The sequence below is a fragment of the Homo sapiens genome, chromosome X, assembly GCF_000001405.40.
Source record: "Homo sapiens chromosome X, GRCh38.p14 Primary Assembly".
In the NCBI taxonomy this organism is placed as follows: domain Eukaryota; kingdom Metazoa; phylum Chordata; class Mammalia; order Primates; family Hominidae; genus Homo; species Homo sapiens.
Window position 1 is genome coordinate 107,199,027 of NC_000023.11, and position 18,729 is coordinate 107,217,755.

At 37.8% G+C, this 18,729-nt stretch overlaps 2 protein-coding genes across 5 annotated transcripts in view; one reads left to right on the forward strand and one right to left on the reverse strand.

Moving 5' to 3' along the window:
• The window catches only part of NUP62CL (nucleoporin 62 C-terminal like), an 83,007-nt gene extending 75,600 nt beyond the window's left edge, over positions 1-7,407 (reverse strand). For all 3 annotated transcript variants that reach the window (NR_033676.2, NM_001433614.1, NM_017681.3), the window contains exon 1: positions 7,247-7,407. The gene's annotated coding sequence lies outside the window, so the exon portion shown is untranslated. The remainder of the gene's footprint in view (positions 1-7,246) is intronic.
• The window catches only part of DNAAF6 (dynein axonemal assembly factor 6), a 37,637-nt gene continuing 26,492 nt past the window's right edge, over positions 7,585-18,729 (forward strand). Inside the window, exons 1-4 of one of the 2 annotated variants that reach the window (NM_001169154.2) lie at positions 7,585-7,664; positions 8,122-8,396; positions 13,847-14,002; positions 17,645-17,717. In NM_001169154.2, coding sequence (NP_001162625.1) covers positions 13,850-14,002; positions 17,645-17,717 — 226 coding nt within the window. In that variant the 5' untranslated portion in view covers positions 7,585-7,664; positions 8,122-8,396; positions 13,847-13,849. The remainder of the gene's footprint in view (positions 7,665-8,121; positions 8,397-13,846; positions 14,003-17,644; positions 17,718-18,729) is intronic. The other variant, NM_173494.2, reaches the window with a different exon arrangement.

The following is an 18,729-nucleotide window of genomic DNA, read 5'->3' on the forward strand; positions in this document are numbered from 1 at the left end:
TCTTGGTAGTAGGAAACCTGATCTAGAATCAATAAATGATGGTCATTTCAGGACACACCACTTTATCACTCAAGTTCTAGACTCTCTTATGTAATATAAAGGGGAAAAGATAAAAGGAAGCACTTATTGAAACTGAAATCCCTTACCTTCATTACCTAACAACAAACCAAAAAGGTATTTTGATCTCCATTCTATAGCTGAGGAAGCAGAGGCTCTGAGACACTAACTTTCCTAGGGTCAAGCAACTAGTAAGTGAAGGAACCGGACACTATTCTTCTATTTTAATACTAGCTTAAGCAACACATCATTAGGAAGATAAATCTACTGTGTGTCAAAAGGCAGAAACAAAATCAGTTCAAGCCTGGGTACCTATCATAAGCCATTTCAGCATAATGTTTAAGGATTTCTGTCTCACAAAGTATAAATGATTTTGAGAGTAATCATTCATTCCCCTACATTTACTTTGAGAAATGACTGTCAAGAGGTGACCAGCACAGAAGCTTAGCCATACGATTTATTAAAAATTGTTCCTAGTTTCTTAGAAGCAAATAGACTATTCTTCTTTAGAGGCAACATTTTCCCTAAACCGCCTAGTTATTGACAATCATCAAGTTCCACGAATGCACTCAACCTTCTCAAGAACATCATGACTGAGAGATCTGGCCTGAAAATTCACATATGATTAGTCATGTTATAAAACCATTTCTATAAATAGCAACCTCTGGCAATACATATGATTGTTTAACACATCATTAATTAGAGAGGCAGAGATGCAAAGGAAGTACAAATTCACAGAAGAAACCCCTTGTTCTACCAAGATATAAAGTCTTCCAGAAAAAGTACTCAAGAAGAAAGTAGAAAAATCTAAGCCTCAAAGCACAGTAATGACCCTATTTGTCAGTAATAGTTATGCATGCCAACTCTGGAAGTAAAAACTGAATTACTAATGTCTTACTCTAAATGTTTCTGTTCCCAGAGAGAAATTGATAGGGAGAGGTGAAGTTAGCCCAGGCATTTTGAAGGAAACAGAGAGGGATCAAACTTCAAATGGTAATCATCTTATGCCAAAACAAAATATAGGGCTTCTGAAAATGGTGCATTGGTTTCAAGTTCATATTAAACATCTTAAGCAGTATAATTTGCTGATTATCTTTCACATTAAGTTCTTTTTTCCCCCTTCATACTATAGCTTCTCAAAGCCTTAAGGTCAGAATCTAATTTTAAGACCTAGAAAAAGTTTTTATTTTAATCCCAAATGAGGATGGATCAATTCTTCAAATGTTAAAAGTGTGATATTGCTGAAGACTGTTAATTGCTCATGTGAAGTTTGATCCTGTAATCCCAGCACTTTGGGAGGCTGAGGTGGGCAGATCATGAGGTCAGGAGTTCAAGACCAGCCTTGAGCAACATGGTGAAAACCCGTCTCTACTAAAAATACAAAAATTAGTCAGGCGTGGTGGTGAGTGCCTGTAATCCCAGCTACTCAGGAGGCTGAGGCAGGAGAATCGCTTGAACCTGGGAGGTGGAGGTTGCAGTGAGCCGAGATCGCGCCACTGCACTCCATCCTGGGCAACAGAGCGAGATTCCGTCTCAAAAAAAAAAAAAAGAGAGAGAGAGAGAGAGAATCTTGGAGGAGCTGAGAAGGACCCAAGGGATGGCAGAGTGTATGTGTGGGCATGAAGACCTAGGAAGAGGTATGGCAGCTTGGAAAGGGGATGGAGGGATGCAAGAGAGGGCAGGGAATAGGGGAGGGTAGGTGAGGAGAGGAGAGAGAGTAAAATACTTGAAAGAACTAACTGGTGAATAGCAGTCAAATGCAAAAGACAGCCTCAAAGGTACGCCCATATTTATAAGAATCTTTCCCAAAACTCTGGAAAAGTAGAGCAAAAAAACCCTCAAAAAACAAAAAACTGGAGAATTCTGAAGAATGATAATCATAAAAACCTTTTACAGACATGCAAGTAAGAAAAGTTGTCATATAAAGATCTCAAAAACTGTTATTTACAAGGAAAAACAGATCTGGCTAATATAACTTAAAGTTTATTTTTTAATAGGAATGTTCACTTTTTTCATGGCCTCACTCCACAGAAAATAAAGCAATTAAACATATGCTTCTGAAAAAATAAGCATAATTCTTATGTTTCTAATTTTTAGTTTTTTAATTGTGGTAAAATACATATAATATTTGCCATTTTACCCATTTTAAACTGTACAATTTTGGTAGTATTAGGTACACTCATGATGTTATTCAACTGTCACAACTATCTGTTGACAAAACTTTTTCATCATCCTGAACAGAAACTCTGTACTCACTGAACACTAACTCCCTTTTCCTCCCTCCTCCAGCCCCTGGTAAACTCTACTTTACTTTCTGTCTCTATGAATTACTCTATTCTAGGTACCTCATGCAAGTGGAATCATAACAATATTTGCATGATTTATATGAATCTTATCTCTATATTTACAACAACCTAAATGTCCAACAGCAATAACGGAATGGAGATTTTTTTAAAAGTGATTTAGTCATATATTGGAATACTATATAGCAATAAAAAATAACTTTATTTGCATTTTAAAATCTCAAAAATACTGCTGACCAAAAAAAAAAAAATGCTGCAGGGCCAAGCACAGTGGCTCACACCTGTAATATCAGCACTTTGGGAGGCTGAGGCAGGAGGATCACTTGACCCCAGGAGTTCAAGAACGGCCTGAGCAACATAGTGAGACCTTGTCTCTACAAAAAAAAATTAAAAATTAGCCAAGCATGGTGGTGCGCACCTGTAGACCTGTGGTCCCACCTACTCCAGAGGCTGAGGTGGGAGGATCACTTGGGCCCAAGAGGTGGAGGTTGCAATGAGCCAAGATCACGTGGCTGCACTCCAGCCTGGGCAGCAGAGTGAGACCCTATCTCAAAAAAGAAAAAAAAACTTCAGAAGAATAAATTATACCATTTATATAAATCTTAAAGACACACAAAACAATATATTACAAATCATTTATGGCCACATGTCAGGGCACTTATAAATACAGATTGGAAAAATGTATACCAACTTTGGAAAAGTATCTCTGGGATGGGAAGGAAATGAGATTGGGAAGGGGTATAAGGAGATAGCTGTAATGTTTTAGTTCTTTAAAAAGATCAACACCTTAAAGAAAATGTGGCAAAATTATAACAATTGTTAAATCTTTGGTAGATACATGGATGATGGTTCATAAGTCTATTTTTCTGTTTGAAATATTTCTTAATTTTAAAGAAGTAATGTTTTAGAATGACAGAAAATAAGACAATATGTGTGCTTTGAAAATGGAGATGTGCTAATATAGACTAATTGTAGCCTTTATTCTCCCAGCCAACTTAATTGGCTCCTTTATAAAAATTGTTTAAATTATAAATTAATACACACTCATATAATCTTCGAAAAAAATATTCATAAAGTAACAGTGTGAGTGTTACTATGGCACTTGAACCTATGTGAAGCTGCTGTGATTCATATATTTTTTAAAGTAAATCATTTTAAAAATGTCTATACTTAGTAAAAAAATAAATTCAGGCTGGTCTGACTACAGTGGTATTTATTAATACAACTAATTAATCACAACCAGTTACAGAATTCTTTGTTCCTTCTCCACTCCCTTTGCTTCACTTGACTGTCTTAAAAAAAAAAAAAAAAAAAAAAGAACATTCATGGCTGGGCCCAGTGGCTCACACCTGCAATCCCAGCACTTTAGGAGGCTGAGGCAAGTGGATTGCTTGAGCCCAGGAGTTTGAGACCAGCATGGGGAACGTGGTGAAGCCCAGTCCCTACCAAAAAAGAAAAAAAAAAAAATTAGCCAGGTATGGTAGCATGTGCCTACAGTCCCAGCTACTTGTAGCCCCAGAGGTCGAGGCTGCAGTGAGCTGTGATCATACCACTGCACTCCAGCTGGGCCGACAGAGCAGACCGTCTCAAAAAAAAAAAAAAAAAAAGTACATTCAACCTAACTCATATGTATAAAGGACACCAGGACTGATCACTGCCTGCTCTAGCACATAGAAATCTTGATTGTCAAATTCATACATCCAAGAGGGGCAAAAACTCCCAGCTCAGGTCCAGATCTAGATCTGGCCTTCCTGTTAGGCTTCCTATTGAGCTCACTGTTATGTAAGACATAAGTTATAGAAATGATTTTAAATAACCCAAGACATCATGGAATAACTATATTAGCACATCTCCCTTTACTTTTTTTTTTTTTTTGAGACACAATCTTGTTCTGTCGCCCAGGCTGGAGTGCAGTGGCGTAATCACAGCTCACTGCAGCCCCAACCTCCCATGCTCAAGCGATCCTCTCACCTCAGCCTCCTGAGTAGCTGGGACCACAGGCACATGCCACCAAGCCTGACTAATTTTTTAATATTTTTTATGGAGATGGGGGTTCACTGTGTTACCCAGGCTGGTCTTGAACTCCTGGATTCAAGTGATTCTTCCGCCTCAGCCTCCCAAAGTGCTGGGATTACAGGTGTGAGCCACCGCACCTGGCTACATCTCCCTTTTCAAAGGACACATAGTATCTTATTTTCTGTTGTTGGTTAGTTAGGCTAAGTAAATTACAGCCAACTCACTCTACGAAATATTAGGTTGCTGTTAATAATGCAAAATATAAAGATCATCACAACACAGAAAAAAATTTCCAAAACAGTATTAAATAAAAATAACAAAAAAGTATATGAAAAAGGATCACAATCATGTAAAAACATGGGTACATGTGGATAAAGATAGGAGGGGAACAGAATTATCAGTTATATTATGGTAGCAGAATTGAGTGAGATTTTTCATCTTTAATTTCTTTCAATGTTGCATTAATAAATTATTTAACCAGTGTTTTAAAATACTCTATATAAAAGAATTAGCTAAACTATATCCATTTTTCATAGCTATAAATCCACAGAAACCTTTGGGTGTATTTTAAAAAATATTTTAGATCTCTCAGGTTTCATTATTTTTTTTCCCTTTAAAAAAACCTTTATTTCACCATTATTCTTTTTTTTTATTATTATACTTTAAGTTTTAGGGTACATGTGCACAATGTGCAGGTTAGAAGTTTCATTACTTTAAAACCGAACTAGGAGTCAAATTCAGTTGTCTCTCCTTTGGGATAGGCAAGTTAGGGAAGCTCTCTTTCTGCTTCAACCACTGCCTCCAGATTGCGGCTGCTATCAAGGCAGAATGGACAAGAATATTAGAATAAGGAAGTGACTTCTAGTCTCGGAGATCCACTTACTGACAGCACAATCCTGGGAAAGTCACAGAACCTCTCTAATCCTTATGTTCCTCAACCTCTAAGCTTCTGTATTTCCGACATTGTTCAGGGAAGCCAACTGCTTAAAGATTAATCTCAGATCCTGGACCCATCCCCCACCCCGCTACTTCCTCTACCTGGGGAAAACAGTTCTTAGTATTGGACGCCACCTTGCCAGGGACAGATGAAACCTTGAAGAGTTGATTATATCCCTAAAGATAAATAACATTTGTTCCCCAAGAAGAAAACTAATATTCACTGAACACCTGTGCACTTGACACTGTACCAAGTATTTCATATATGCTATATTGTATATCTTCCTGGGTCCCACTAGACCACAGAACCAATTTCTGGAGGGAGCCAGGGCAATCTGCATTTTAAATAAATTATTTATTTAAATAAATTTTAAATAAATTATTTATTTAAATAAATTTTAAATAAATTATTTAAATAAATTTTAAATAAATTATTTAAATAAATTTTAAATAAATTATTTAAATAAATTTTAAATAAATTATTTAAATAAATTTTAAATAAATTATTTATTTAAATAAATTTTAAATAAATTATTTAAATAAATTTTAAATAAATTATTTAAATAAATTTTAAATAAATTATTTATTTAAATAAATTTTAAATAAATTATTTATTTAAATAAATTTTAAATAAAGTGCACACACAAGTTTGAAAACTAAAGGTCTAGGGACAAATCATTAGGGTGTTGTGGTGTACATTTTTTAAAATGTAATGGAAATTATCAGAGTATATTGCAAGTAGTAAGTGTTAAGTGTTGTTTCTGTAAAAACAGTTGTCGGTTATATATTGTCTACATGTGTACTAGGTCACAATATAAAATTTATTTCTTACTGTCGGTCACAGTCAAAAGGTCTGAAAAACACCGGCTGAGCATTACAGACTTAGAATAATGCACAGTGAGGCAGAATAAAAACAAAAAAGCAAGAAGAAGGAGATGGCATAATATCTATAATTTAAGCTCCACAAGTATCTAGTGAATTAGCAAAATGCAAGACAGCTAAACTCTGATCATTCACAGTAATAAGCGGAATTAAGGTATTGGTAATTTGGCCAAAAGGCCAATAACGTTACTTTAGCCAATAACCTTATTCTACCCCCATTTTTTGTTTACTGTAGATAAGAACAAGTAGAAGGGACAAATTAATCAAACTTCACTATCTCTTATGCCAGATGGGATGGTCGTTAAGAAATGCATGGTATATAGAAAGAAGGGAAGCAGTTTAGTTCATTCATAATCAAATTCCAATACCTGAATAACCAAAAGTAACCATTCATTAAAACCTTCTGTGGGGTCCTACTATTGATCATGGCTAATCAGTCCTGAATACTCCAAATATTTATTACGCCATCCCCCCGCCGCCCCTTTGTTTAAAACCAAGCCACGGAATTTATGGGAAACTAGGGTAACAACTCTATCTCTAAGTGAACTTAAGACAACCAGATTCCCTAGCAGTGGCAAGCGAGCGGCGCGCCTGCTTTTCTCCACTCCGAGGCGGGAAAAGCAGAGCTCCCGGAGTCGCGATGTTCCTTAGAGTGGGAACGACACGTAGCTCAAGCCAGTGCCCCACAGGAACCGGGTGGCAGTTGACCAGGTGCTCCCCCGGGGACTTGGGGCCCGGAAGCCTTGCCTACAGAGGAGAATAAAAAGCGCGATCCCACCTGCACACATACAAACACACTATCGCCCGCGACAAGCCAAGACAGAAGCACAACACGTGTTTCTGTCGCGTGGGGGAGACGTGAAAGGCTGGGGGCGTGGAGGACTGTAGCAAAACCTTCTCTACCCCCGGCCCACTGACCCTACCCTTCTGCCCCCGTCTCTCCAGATCGGCTGGAGTTCGAGTCCTCAGATCGGGAATTCACGCGCGGGAAAAGCGCAAAAGAGAGCGAAGCCTGCTGACGAACGGGACAAACGAAAACCCCACAAACTTACCTTACTGGCAAGTCGCCGCCGCTCGCTGTCCGGCCCTGAACTATACGGGCAGGCCTCCGAGACTGCTAGACGCCAGAGGGGCGGGTCCGGACCTGCTCGAGCCGGAAAGAATCGGCCTCCTTAGTGGGCAGGTTCCCGCTGAAGTGAAGCTAACCGAGACTGAGGCTTAAAAGGGGTCGACCTGGTTAACTAGAAAGGGCGACCAGTGACCCTGACCTGGACGCGCTCGGATTGGTCGATTCCAGTGCAGTCTCAGATGAGACTCTTCTATGATTGGCCAGAAAAGTCAAGCGGGAACCCGGAGGTTGGCAGGTGGGGGGCGGGAACAAAACAAAGTTGTTACCCTAGCAACGGAGAGACGCCACGCTCTGCACAGTCTATTTTCGGAGCCTAGCCAGAGACGGGAAAACTGACCAAGGTGAGGAAACTCGAACCTCAAGACGGGGAAAGACAGGGTCCTCAGATGCTGTGGCTATCAGAAAAACTAGGGAGAACTCTAGATATTTATAACTCTGCGAGATACCCCAAAAAGCCACAAGTTGGGCAAGGTGGAGAAGACCCGTTCCCTAAATCCCGCTATCCTAGACTCTTCACTAAATCCCGCTATCCTAGACTCTAGAAACAGGACGCTGCTTTAACAAAACTCGGTTTTACAGGATGTGAGTGAAAGATGGATGCTGATCGACTGTCAGAAGGCAAAAGTAAACATCTGAAAGTTTCCCAACTGGTCTTCTCTCAACTCTCACATGCACTTATTGGTTCTCCCTTCCCATTAATAATGACTAATTTGGGAATGTAAACCATATTTTCTTATAGGAGGACCTGGGTGCTCCAAACTGGAGCAGCCACTGTACCCTTCTGTTTTATATGTGCAGGCACGATTTATCCTGGCCTAGCATGCCTTGGTTAGGAAATGTTTTGGGGGATATCACACTTCAGACTGAAAAAAAAATGGCCCCAGTACTTACTACGTGAATAATGTCCTTTGTGCGACAACTTGAACGCTGTGGTCTGAGGGTTCCAGTGTTGCTTGGTTAGATAAGCTGAGGAGTGAGAAGTAATCAGACCTTCACTTGGTGGGCCCGAGTGTACTGTGCAGAGACTACTTGTACCTACAAGACCTGCTACTCGCCAAGGGCTGATTGGGAGAGTAAGTATTACATGTCGTTTGACTGTAACTATCAAAAGGTGGGGAAGTGTGACCAAAAAAATTAAATCTGAGTGAAGGGAGAGAACCTAGTTTGACCAAAGAGGGAGGAGTCATTACTCCTTAAGAGCTTCTTGTGATAAGGATTCAGAACAGAGACCATATTTCCTGAAGAAAGGAAAAAAATAGGACTAGGGAGAAAATTTAAAGCACAGCAAGAAAATTTGCCAGGCCGAGCGCGGTGGCTCCCGCCTGTAATCCCAGCACTTTGGGAGGCCGAGGCGGGCAGATCACTTGAGGTCAGGAGTTCGAGACCAGCCTGGGCAATATGGCGAAACCTGGTCTCCACTAAAAATACAAAAATTAGCCGGGTGTGTTGGCGCCTGCCTGTCTGGATGCTGAGGTGGGAGAATCACCTGAGCCCTGGAGATCGAGGCTGCAGCGAGCCGTGATGGCGCCACTGCACTCTAGCCTGGGCGACAGAGTGAGATGTGGTCTCAAAAACAAAAGAGTTCTCATACTCCACCTGTATCTAAAAAGAGTCCCTCCAACTTCTTTTTAGATAGAGGTGGAGTATGAGACTTGAGATAGATAAACGAAGAGAAAAAAATATTAAGTGTATTGTTTGTCTGAAATGTACTATAGAGCATTCGATAATTCAGGATGGGTTCTACAGATACCAAGGATTTGCCTCTCCATATTAAAACTAATTTTTCTGTCAACTCAGCACTTTGAGAGTCCTAAGCGAGGGATCACTTGAGCTCAGGAGTTCGAGACCCATCTGGGCTACACGGTGAAGCCCCGTCTCTACAAGTAATAACAAAAATTAGCCGGCGAAACCCCGTCTCTACAAATAACACAAAAATTAGCCAGGTGCAGTGGCACAGCCTGTAGTCCCAGCTACTTGGGAGGCTGAGGTGGGAAGATTACTTGAGCCAGGGAGGTCGAGGCTGCAGTGAGCCGAGATCGCGCCACTGCACTCCAGCCTGGGCTACAGCAAGACCCTGTCTCAAAAACAAAAAAACAAAAAAACCCCTCCATTTTCAAAAAGGATTGGGATGGTACAGACTCCTTATGAATAAATGACTAAAACAGAGGAAATATTAAATCAAAAGACGCAATTTTTTTTTTTTTTTGAGACGGAGTCTCGCTCTGTCGCCCAGGCTGGAATGCAGTGGTGCGATCTCGGCTCACTGCAACTTCCACCTCCCGGGTTCAAGCGATTCTTGTGCCTCAGCCACCCGAGGAGATGGGATTACAGGTGCGTGCCACTATGCCTGGCTAATTTTTGTATTTGTAGTAGAGACGGGGTTTCACCCTGTTGGCAAGCTGGTCTCAAACTCCTGACCTCAAGTGATCCGCCGGCCTCGGCCTCCCAAAGTGCTGGGTTTACAGGCATGCACCACCGCGCCCAGCCAAAAGACACTTTTTTTGATTTAGTAATCAATAACTATTTAATTTCTTGACTTCTTTTTCTATGAAAGATTCTAGGTACTTTCAAAAAGCATCTTCCTTAAATATATTTTAAATTTGAAACGAAAACTGTTAAGTTCCCATAGTTACTTATGAGTTAGTACATTTGATGGTAGCGAAAGTTAGAGACCTGAAAAAGAAACCATTCTTAGTATTGTAAAGATAAATTCAAAATGAATTATTTTTAATAGGTGGGAAATCATTGATGAGTATAGTTATCAAAAAATGCAAAGCAGAAAGCAATTAGTCAGTATATTATAATTTAATTCAGACATAGGCAGAGATGATATCACTGTTGTGTTCTCAAGAATTTTAATGGAGGAATTGCTAAATAAGGCACTATATAAATAAAGTTGCTTCAATCTAGGAAAGCTGATTTAAAAAAAATAAATAAATAAAAATAAAGTTGCAGAAGAAATGCCAAATTTATTTAGAGAATAAATAGATTTTGAGTACTTGCAAATCATTGTGTTAAAGTCAGTATTTTACATAGGGATATATCTATTTACTTAAACAAGTTCCAAAAGGATATTGCTTGGTGACTTTTTTTGGGGGGCAGGGAATTGAGTTTCTCTCTGTCACCCAGGCTGGAGTGCAGTGGCATGATCTCGGCTCACTGCAACGGCCACCTCCCAGGTTAAGTGATTCTCCAGCCTCAGCCTCCCAGGTAGCTGGGATTACAGGCGCCCGCCATCATGCCCGGCTAATTTTTGTGTTTTTTAGTAGAGTCGGGGTATCGCCATGTTGGCCAGGCTGATCTTGAACTTCTGACCTCAGGTGATCCACCCACCTTAGCCTCCCAAAGTGCTGGGATTACAGACGTGAACCACTGCGCCCAGCCCTGCTTGGTGGTTCTTTATCACCCTGATTTTATTTACCATATATACTTGAATTAATAAAATCTATTATCTATTTGAATAGTCTGTAATTCAGAGTTTTCACTAATTTAACCTAGACTTTTCTACAATTAACTGATGTCAAAAGCCATCTTTATTGATACTGTGAAGGAGACAAATAAAATAGAAAGCATGATCCCAGCCTTAGAACCAGTCTGACTTTAACTCAAGGTTACTGATGTTGCTTAAGTGCTGTGGGTCTGGAGCCAATCTGGTTGAACTTTTTCAGCCCCTGACTGGCTCCAGTGTTATGGTAATGAGCTGGTTCTGGAGTGTCAGTTGCTTTAGCTCATTGTGGCTAGTAGATGGTCCAATCATGCCTCTATTTATGAAGACCCCAAGTACTCAGGTTAATGTGGGAAAATCAAAGGCTCTGTCTGGAAAATGTTGCCATTAGCATTGGCCTAGCAAAAGAGAAGGAGAGAAAGAAAAACAAAGGGCCTAAAAAATTTATTTTCTAAATACAAATCTCAAATAAAAGACAGTAATATATTTTGTTTTTACTGAAACTCTTAAATTTTCCTTACTTTAAGTTTATTCTTGGCCTATTTAAGTGACAGTGCCAGATTCAAACATTTTAGGCAGTGTGGCTCCAGAATCTTCTTTTTCATTTTTTATTGTTATTATTTTATTTATTTATTTATTTTTGAAACAGGATCTCACTCTGTCTCCCAGGCTGGAATGCAGTGGCCCGATCTGGGCTCACTGCAACTTCCATCTCTGGGACTCAAGCAATCATCCTGCCTCGGGCCCCTGAGTAGATGGGACCACAGGGGCACACCACCGCGCCCGTCTAATTTTTGTATTTTTTGTAGAGTCGGGGTTTCGCTATGTTGCTCAGGCTGATCTCGAACTCCTGAGCTCACGTGACCCGTGAGCTCACCTTGGCCTCTCAAAGTGTTTGCATTACAGACGTCAGTCAGCCACCATACCCGGCCAGAATCTTCTTTTTAAAAATCGCTACACTGTACTATCCAATAAGTCAGGGCAAAAGGAAGAATGCACTCCAAGGTACAAAGGCAGGAAATTATAGAGTATGTTTAATAAGCAGTTTAGTTTTTAACAGAATATGTAGGAGAATAATAGAAGGGAAGGACAGAAAATTACGTTGGGACTATATCCTGAAGGACCTTGATTGCCAGACTCAGGATGAACTTAAATGTATATCACATTTAGAAATAAAAGATAGAGCTATAAACTAACACTGCATAGTTCATTGTAGTGAAGATAGTTCCCTACAAATAGTTCTTTGTAGTTCCTAAAAAGTCCTCCTGTTTTAGTTTTTCAGCTGTGATCCACTTGTGTCAAATGAATTTTAATAAATGTTTTTTAATAAAGTTGAATAAGTTATTCTAAATATGTTAGACTTCTTAAAAAGCTAGTAGAATCTTCCTTTCCATTGAATTTTGAATGTTTTTTTCTAAAAATTCACAAACTGTTTTTCTCTTTTGATACTTTGAACCATTTAACTAGTTAGTCACAAAATATTTGGGATTCTTTTGTTTATCAAAATACAATATCAACAAACTTGTCATGATTGATTTATTTATTTTTGTTGTCATGATTTATTAATTTGTGTTTACAGATTATTATTACATTTGATATGGCAAAAATATTTTGGCTAAAGTGGTAATTTTATTATTATATTTCTATTTTAATTGAGCTATAGTGCAAATCTATGGCATTTTATTCCAGCATAATTTGGAAGTCCAATTGTACTTTAAGAAGTCTAACTCCTAATATGCTTCAGATATATAAAGTGTTACTAAGAATTATTGTGAATAATTTAACAAAAACAAGTGTACACGTTCCAAGGAGGACCATCCCCTTCGAAGTAGTCACTTTAGGAGACTAATCTATTTACTCTAATGTTGTTGTTATTGCTAAAATTGCTTTTGAAACTTCTGTTTTAGAATCACCTTGAGGCATGTAGCACATTCTTTTGAATATCCTCAAAGAAGAAAATCTTCATATTTTGAAAGTAGACATGATATCTAAATATATCTAGAAATCACTTGGCGACAAATCTGATGTGTAATCAAACCAAATGATACCATAATGATACCATAATGATACCTATTTTCTTGGTGATACATATGAAGGCAATTCCAAATAAAAAGAAAAATCCCAAAATATTTTGAGCATTGATAGCATAATTTACATCAGTGTATAACCTTCCAAATGACTATTTTGAAATATAACATTCAGATGAATTTAGTCATGCTTCATTTGGTATTAATCAACTGCTGACTATGTGCCAGCTGCAGTTATTAAAGACACTAAATCTACAGGTATAGCTTCCCACTGCTCACACTGGCCTACTTCCCACCTAATGAGAACCAGGCCAGAGTTCCTTTCCAAATAACTGGTAGGGATTCAGAATTAATCTGGTTTTTCTGAATCCAGTATCCAATGTACCAAAGGAACCATAACATTCCTTCATAACCTCCACTGTGGGTACCTAGGTGACACGAGAAAGCCACCGACACAGTGCCTGGTTTGTTTTCTCTTTTCCAGCTGGAACTTTGAGCCCTATTCTGCCCTATTCTGAACCTTCATCTCTAGTAGTCAACTTGTGCACAAACCTCAAGAACTGTACCCCACCTTCTATAGGCCAGCGTCCTTCTTCACTTTAAATAGGTCTCCCTGTAACCATGACTTCAACCTTTCTGCCCTGAAGCACTGCTCATGTCTAAAAAATATGTTCCCAAATGATGATACATAATGTATCATACACTTTTTCTAGAGGTAGGGCTTAAGAATCTGCATTTTAAACCAACTCCCCCAAGTGATTATTAAGCACATTAAAACCCGAGAACCACTATACTAGGTGCTCAATAAGTGCTTGTTAGCTTGAGTATGACATTTTAGTAAAGCAGGCTGAATGTTTGAGTTTACTTGGTGCTCCAGGTCTGTGAGTTAGCAAAATACATATATTTGAAGGAGTTTAAAAGGATTTCCAAGGAAGTATAAGAACCAATGGAGTGATCCAGGGAAAGAAGGGAGATATGACAATAAAACATCTTCATGTCTTAAATAAAACAGAAAAGTAAAATACCTCTTTCTGATTATCTTTTTCTTCAGATAATGGAATCTGAAAATATGGATTCTGAAAATATGAAGACAGAAAATATGGAATCTCAAAATGTAGACTTTGAGAGTGTTTCTTCAGTTACAGCTCTGGAAGCCCTCTCTAAGCTACTTAATCCTGAAGAAGAGGATGATTCTGACTATGGACAGGTGGTCATATACTTAACAGTTGAATTAGTTTTGTTCATGGGAAGTTGTGGAACTGTATTTGAATAACCTGTTCCCACCTAGCTGTGGGAACAGAGCTGTGTCATTTGATACATTCACAGGAAGCTACAAGGCTGATTATGCATGACAATGTAACCTGTAGTACATTTCTAGCAAAGATAATTATATTTTTCTAAACCACCTGAACACTGAATAGGAAAATAGTTCTGTAACTGTGGTAGCAATAGCCACATCTCAAAATGTTGTCATTTATATTTATAGCCAAAGAATGCTTGACAACCATTGCAGAGTGGTAGCTAGGATTGTTTAAGCCTAGGCAATATTTCTATAAAACAAATATTTTCAGTTATACAGTATTAATTGGACCACCAAGTACCAGTCCCTTAATTTTTTAATTTGTCTACACATTAACGCAGAACAGAAAGTTTTTGAGCCAAATAATAGGGCAAACTAGTTTCAGCCTACCAAAATTGGCTTCCCAGTAATGCACAAATAAAGTTGTGGAGTCTAATTAGTTGAGTAGCATTTGGGGTCAAGATAGGTAATGCCAGCAAGGCTTGCAGTAGCAAGATGGGCTTCATTTTGGGTAGAAGAGTTCATTGAACTGACCTTTGACCACTCCAAGGTTACTGCCAGTATTCCCAGAACAATTAAAACACTTTTATATAACTCCCTGCTCTCCATTCTCCTATTTCTTAACTATCGGTGAGCCTTGGCTATCAGACTGCCTATGATAGGGCAAACAAAATTTGGGGCAAAAAATCCCATATCATAACAGAATCTGTCAATTTGCATAAAATTATTTTAATGAAGTGTTTTGTTATATGACCAATTTATCATGAATAAATCATCTTTCACAAACGTACATATCAATTTACTCCTCCCAAAATTTATTTTTGCCACAATGTGGAGAAAAAAGCAAGCTATGAACAGGCAGCAAATTCAGTGGCTCAGATTGACACTGAACTGAGCTACCACCCTAAGGAAGAGCTTAGGTGGAATAGGGCAGAATAAATAAGATGTGAAATGGGAATAACATTTGTAGAAGAACTGAGTCAGCTTGGAGCCAGGATCAGGAACCAGGAAGTTTTAGTCAGGGAAAAGTCTTAGTAGAGGCTAAACAAAGAAACATCAGGATGTTAATGACAGCATTAGCTATACACAACAAACAGGATACAGGAGAAAAAGTTAGGAACAATGTATCAATGAAGTTGGGAAGGCAAGCTCATTTTTGCTACCTTAGTTGAGTAGCAGAATAATAATTTTCTGGAGCCTACATCCTAGGAAAGGTAAGGTTATGCCATATAGAAAAAGTATATCAAGTATTTGAGAAACAGTGACCTTGAATATAGTGAAGTGGAACTTGTAACTGGGACAGATTCAAATATAAGGATTTACCCTGGTTACAGAGCCTATTCCATTTGGTGTTTATGGCTGGAGGTGTTTATTTGCATCTAGAGGTGTTTCTAGGAGAAAAGATGAGTGCTTATGAGAATAGACTAACATAATATTACTGAGTTGTACAGTTTATAAAGGAAAATTACTATAATAATGTATGATTCTGTATATCTGGGTTATAAACAATTTTGAGATAATTGGTCATTCAGACACCACAGTACAGATATCATTAGAGGACATACAGTATCAGAACAGTGGGAGAATAATTAATGTTTCTAATGAACTATTACATTTTCCAGGAGAGAAACTGCTTTTCATTTTTTAACATGTATTAATCTTGGGAACTGTGGGATGATTACAAGAGTGATGTGTTTTTGAAAATATGCTCTCTGAAAACAGCAAGAGAACAGTTGCATACACATTGCTTCATTTACACTATCCCTTTTCTATATGACTTGTTAAGAATCTGGGAGATTGAGGAGAGAGTGTGTCTGTCATTTTTCAAAGCCATGAGGGGATCTTAAGGCCTGTGGGAAATAAGGTTCACTGCTCTTCACAGACATTATAACGAGGATGTTCTGTCTTACATATTACAAAGTGGCATGAATTGCAGTGATAAATTGCTCAGATAATTGGCTGTAGATTCATGGTAAAGGCTCAAATGATGTTCTAATAGAAAACAATTGCCAGATGGTTTTTAATGTTTTTATGATCCCATTCCATCTTTTAACTTGAAAATTTTATTTTTAATCATTTATTTTCATTAAATTAATAAATTGAAACTCCCATGTGTTCTGAGCCAATCACTGTCCATGGAAAGTATACCAATTTTTGTCAAGAATGTCCAAGGTTTTACTTCTACTGCTTTTAATTTTCTGTGGAAGGCAGCACTCAACTAAACAAGAGGCCCTCATGTTCTGAGAAATGCTTTACTCTGACTATTAGTGTTCTGATGATTAATAATTTAAGAAAAGTACTACACATTTACATGACATTAGTGATTAAAAAAGAGGGAAAAAAATGTCCCAAATATTATCTTGGGATTTTCACATAAAAATGCCTGTAATGCCTTAACCGCAGACATAGCACTTTTGAAACACCTTTTGGAAAGGAATAGTTACTGTCTCAGACACTGTTGAGAGATTATAGATTAATTTCTGATTTATAACTCTTGGAATAGTTTCACATAATAAAGACCCACGTGAGCTGTTCCATCAGCTTTCAAGAACAGACACTACTCTCCTTGCCCAAACAAGACATTCTAACTTTTGTACATGTCTAAAGTCTTAGGAGATGAGGACAGGGGCCTGAGAAAAGAGAGATAGAGGTGCTAGTTGGCCAGTAGGCAAGGAGATAAGAATTTTTTGACTGCCAGCAGTGGAGTGAGTTGGAGCTGCAGGGTCTGTCATCAGCAAAAAACAATTGGTAAGAAATTGGGATTTTCTTGAAATATCAAAGAATCCCTGAGACGGGCCAATGAGGTGGTGTCGCTATGTGTTATACTTAGTTGAAAAAAATGAAGATTGCTTGTATTGGTGAGTCAGGGCAAGTCCTTTGGGGATGTGTATGCTTGTGCAGAAGATGGAAAAATAAACTTATGAAGTTATGAAGACTGAAGTACATCAGCATGTATTAGAGACTATTAATTTGTGGTTGCTGTTTAAATCCACTAGTTCAGTGTCATGAGGCGGTGGGACAGGGAAGTGTTTCATACCTATAGTGGAAAAAAGTAAAAGCAGTTATCAGGGCTTTTGAATGATTAATCTGAAGTCTGAATACTTAGCTTCTGCTTAGTGTTAGTTTTTATTTCTATAAAACTTTCACATACTCTGTCCTCCATCTGACTACAACCAGACACTGCTAAACCCCAAAAGTGTCAATGCCTTTATACTAATACTTGGTTCTAACCTTCATAGAGATGAATGTGGCTCGTTCCTCTATCCCCAGGGATACATGATTCACTGAGCTGGAACTAGGGTTTTAGCCTGACTAAAGATCAATTCTGCTCTTGAGTCTATTAAACCAAACACTTTTTGAAAGAACAAGGAAAGCATATTCGAAATAGTACTTGACATCTGTCTTTCTGTTTTATAACAATGATGGGTAATTAAAGTGGAAAGCTCCATGAGTTTTTTTATGGAAATCCTATCAAATTTAAAGTATCACTAGTCATATAGGTTATACAAGTATTAATTACAGAATATTGAACTTTTTCTCCTCCCTCAGACAAATGGTTTATCTACTATTGGAGCCATGGGTCCTGGGAATATTGGACCACCCCAAATAGAAGAGCTCAAAGGTAAGTTATTTAACAAAGCAATATAGATCAATATAATCTTTTCCTTGGTAGAGAAATTATAGGGAGAGTAATAAGTACTAATACTAGTATTTATTAAGATGAACTAAATAACAATGTATTGTATACTTGGAAATTGCTAAGATAGTAGATTTTAAGTATTCTCATCACAAGTAAATGATAAGTAGGTGAGGTAATCCATATGTTAATCAGCTTGAGTTAGTCATCCACTGTGTATACATATTTCAGAACATCATATGGTATATCATAAATATATACAATTTTTATTTGTTCATTAAAAATGGAGAAATGAATAAATAATTTTTAAATAGAAAAAAGATGAACTAAAATAATCATGGAAATGATGAATAGCCATTTACATATAAAGATGCTGTTTTTACTCTACCACTGCAGGTAAATAGTTTTTCTAATAATGGAAATATATTTGCCTTGAATTATCCACATTCCTTGCATATTTTCTGAGATAGAAGACCAAGAAAGTCACGTGTGGTTAGATCATTTTTTATTTTTTAAGGTCTATTTACCAAGATGCTTAGCTTCTTTACCTTCTACCTTCCTATATTCTAGCAATTTCATGGAATTCATTCATTGAATTGTTTAATAAATATTTATTGAGAACCTATTGTATCAGGCAGTATGACCATCTCTGATACTACAATGCAGATCAAAACAGAAAAAGTCCCTGTTCTGATTGAGCTAATAGACTTTTGGAGAAGACAATAAAACAAATAACTACACAATTTTATCTTACATTAAGAGGCTTATACATTAACATCTTTGAGTTTACTTATAAAAAAAAGTCCAATAAATAAGGCTAAATAATATTTTTACATTTCCCCAGCATTTTGAGCTATACATTTTTACAGAGTTGAACATTTTACAAATCTTTAAAAATATAAAAGGCTCTAATTCTGTTGGTCATGATCACCATTAACCAGAGGATAGGAAGGGAGAGGAAGTGAATTTCATTCATCAATTTAGTTAATTGCAAAAG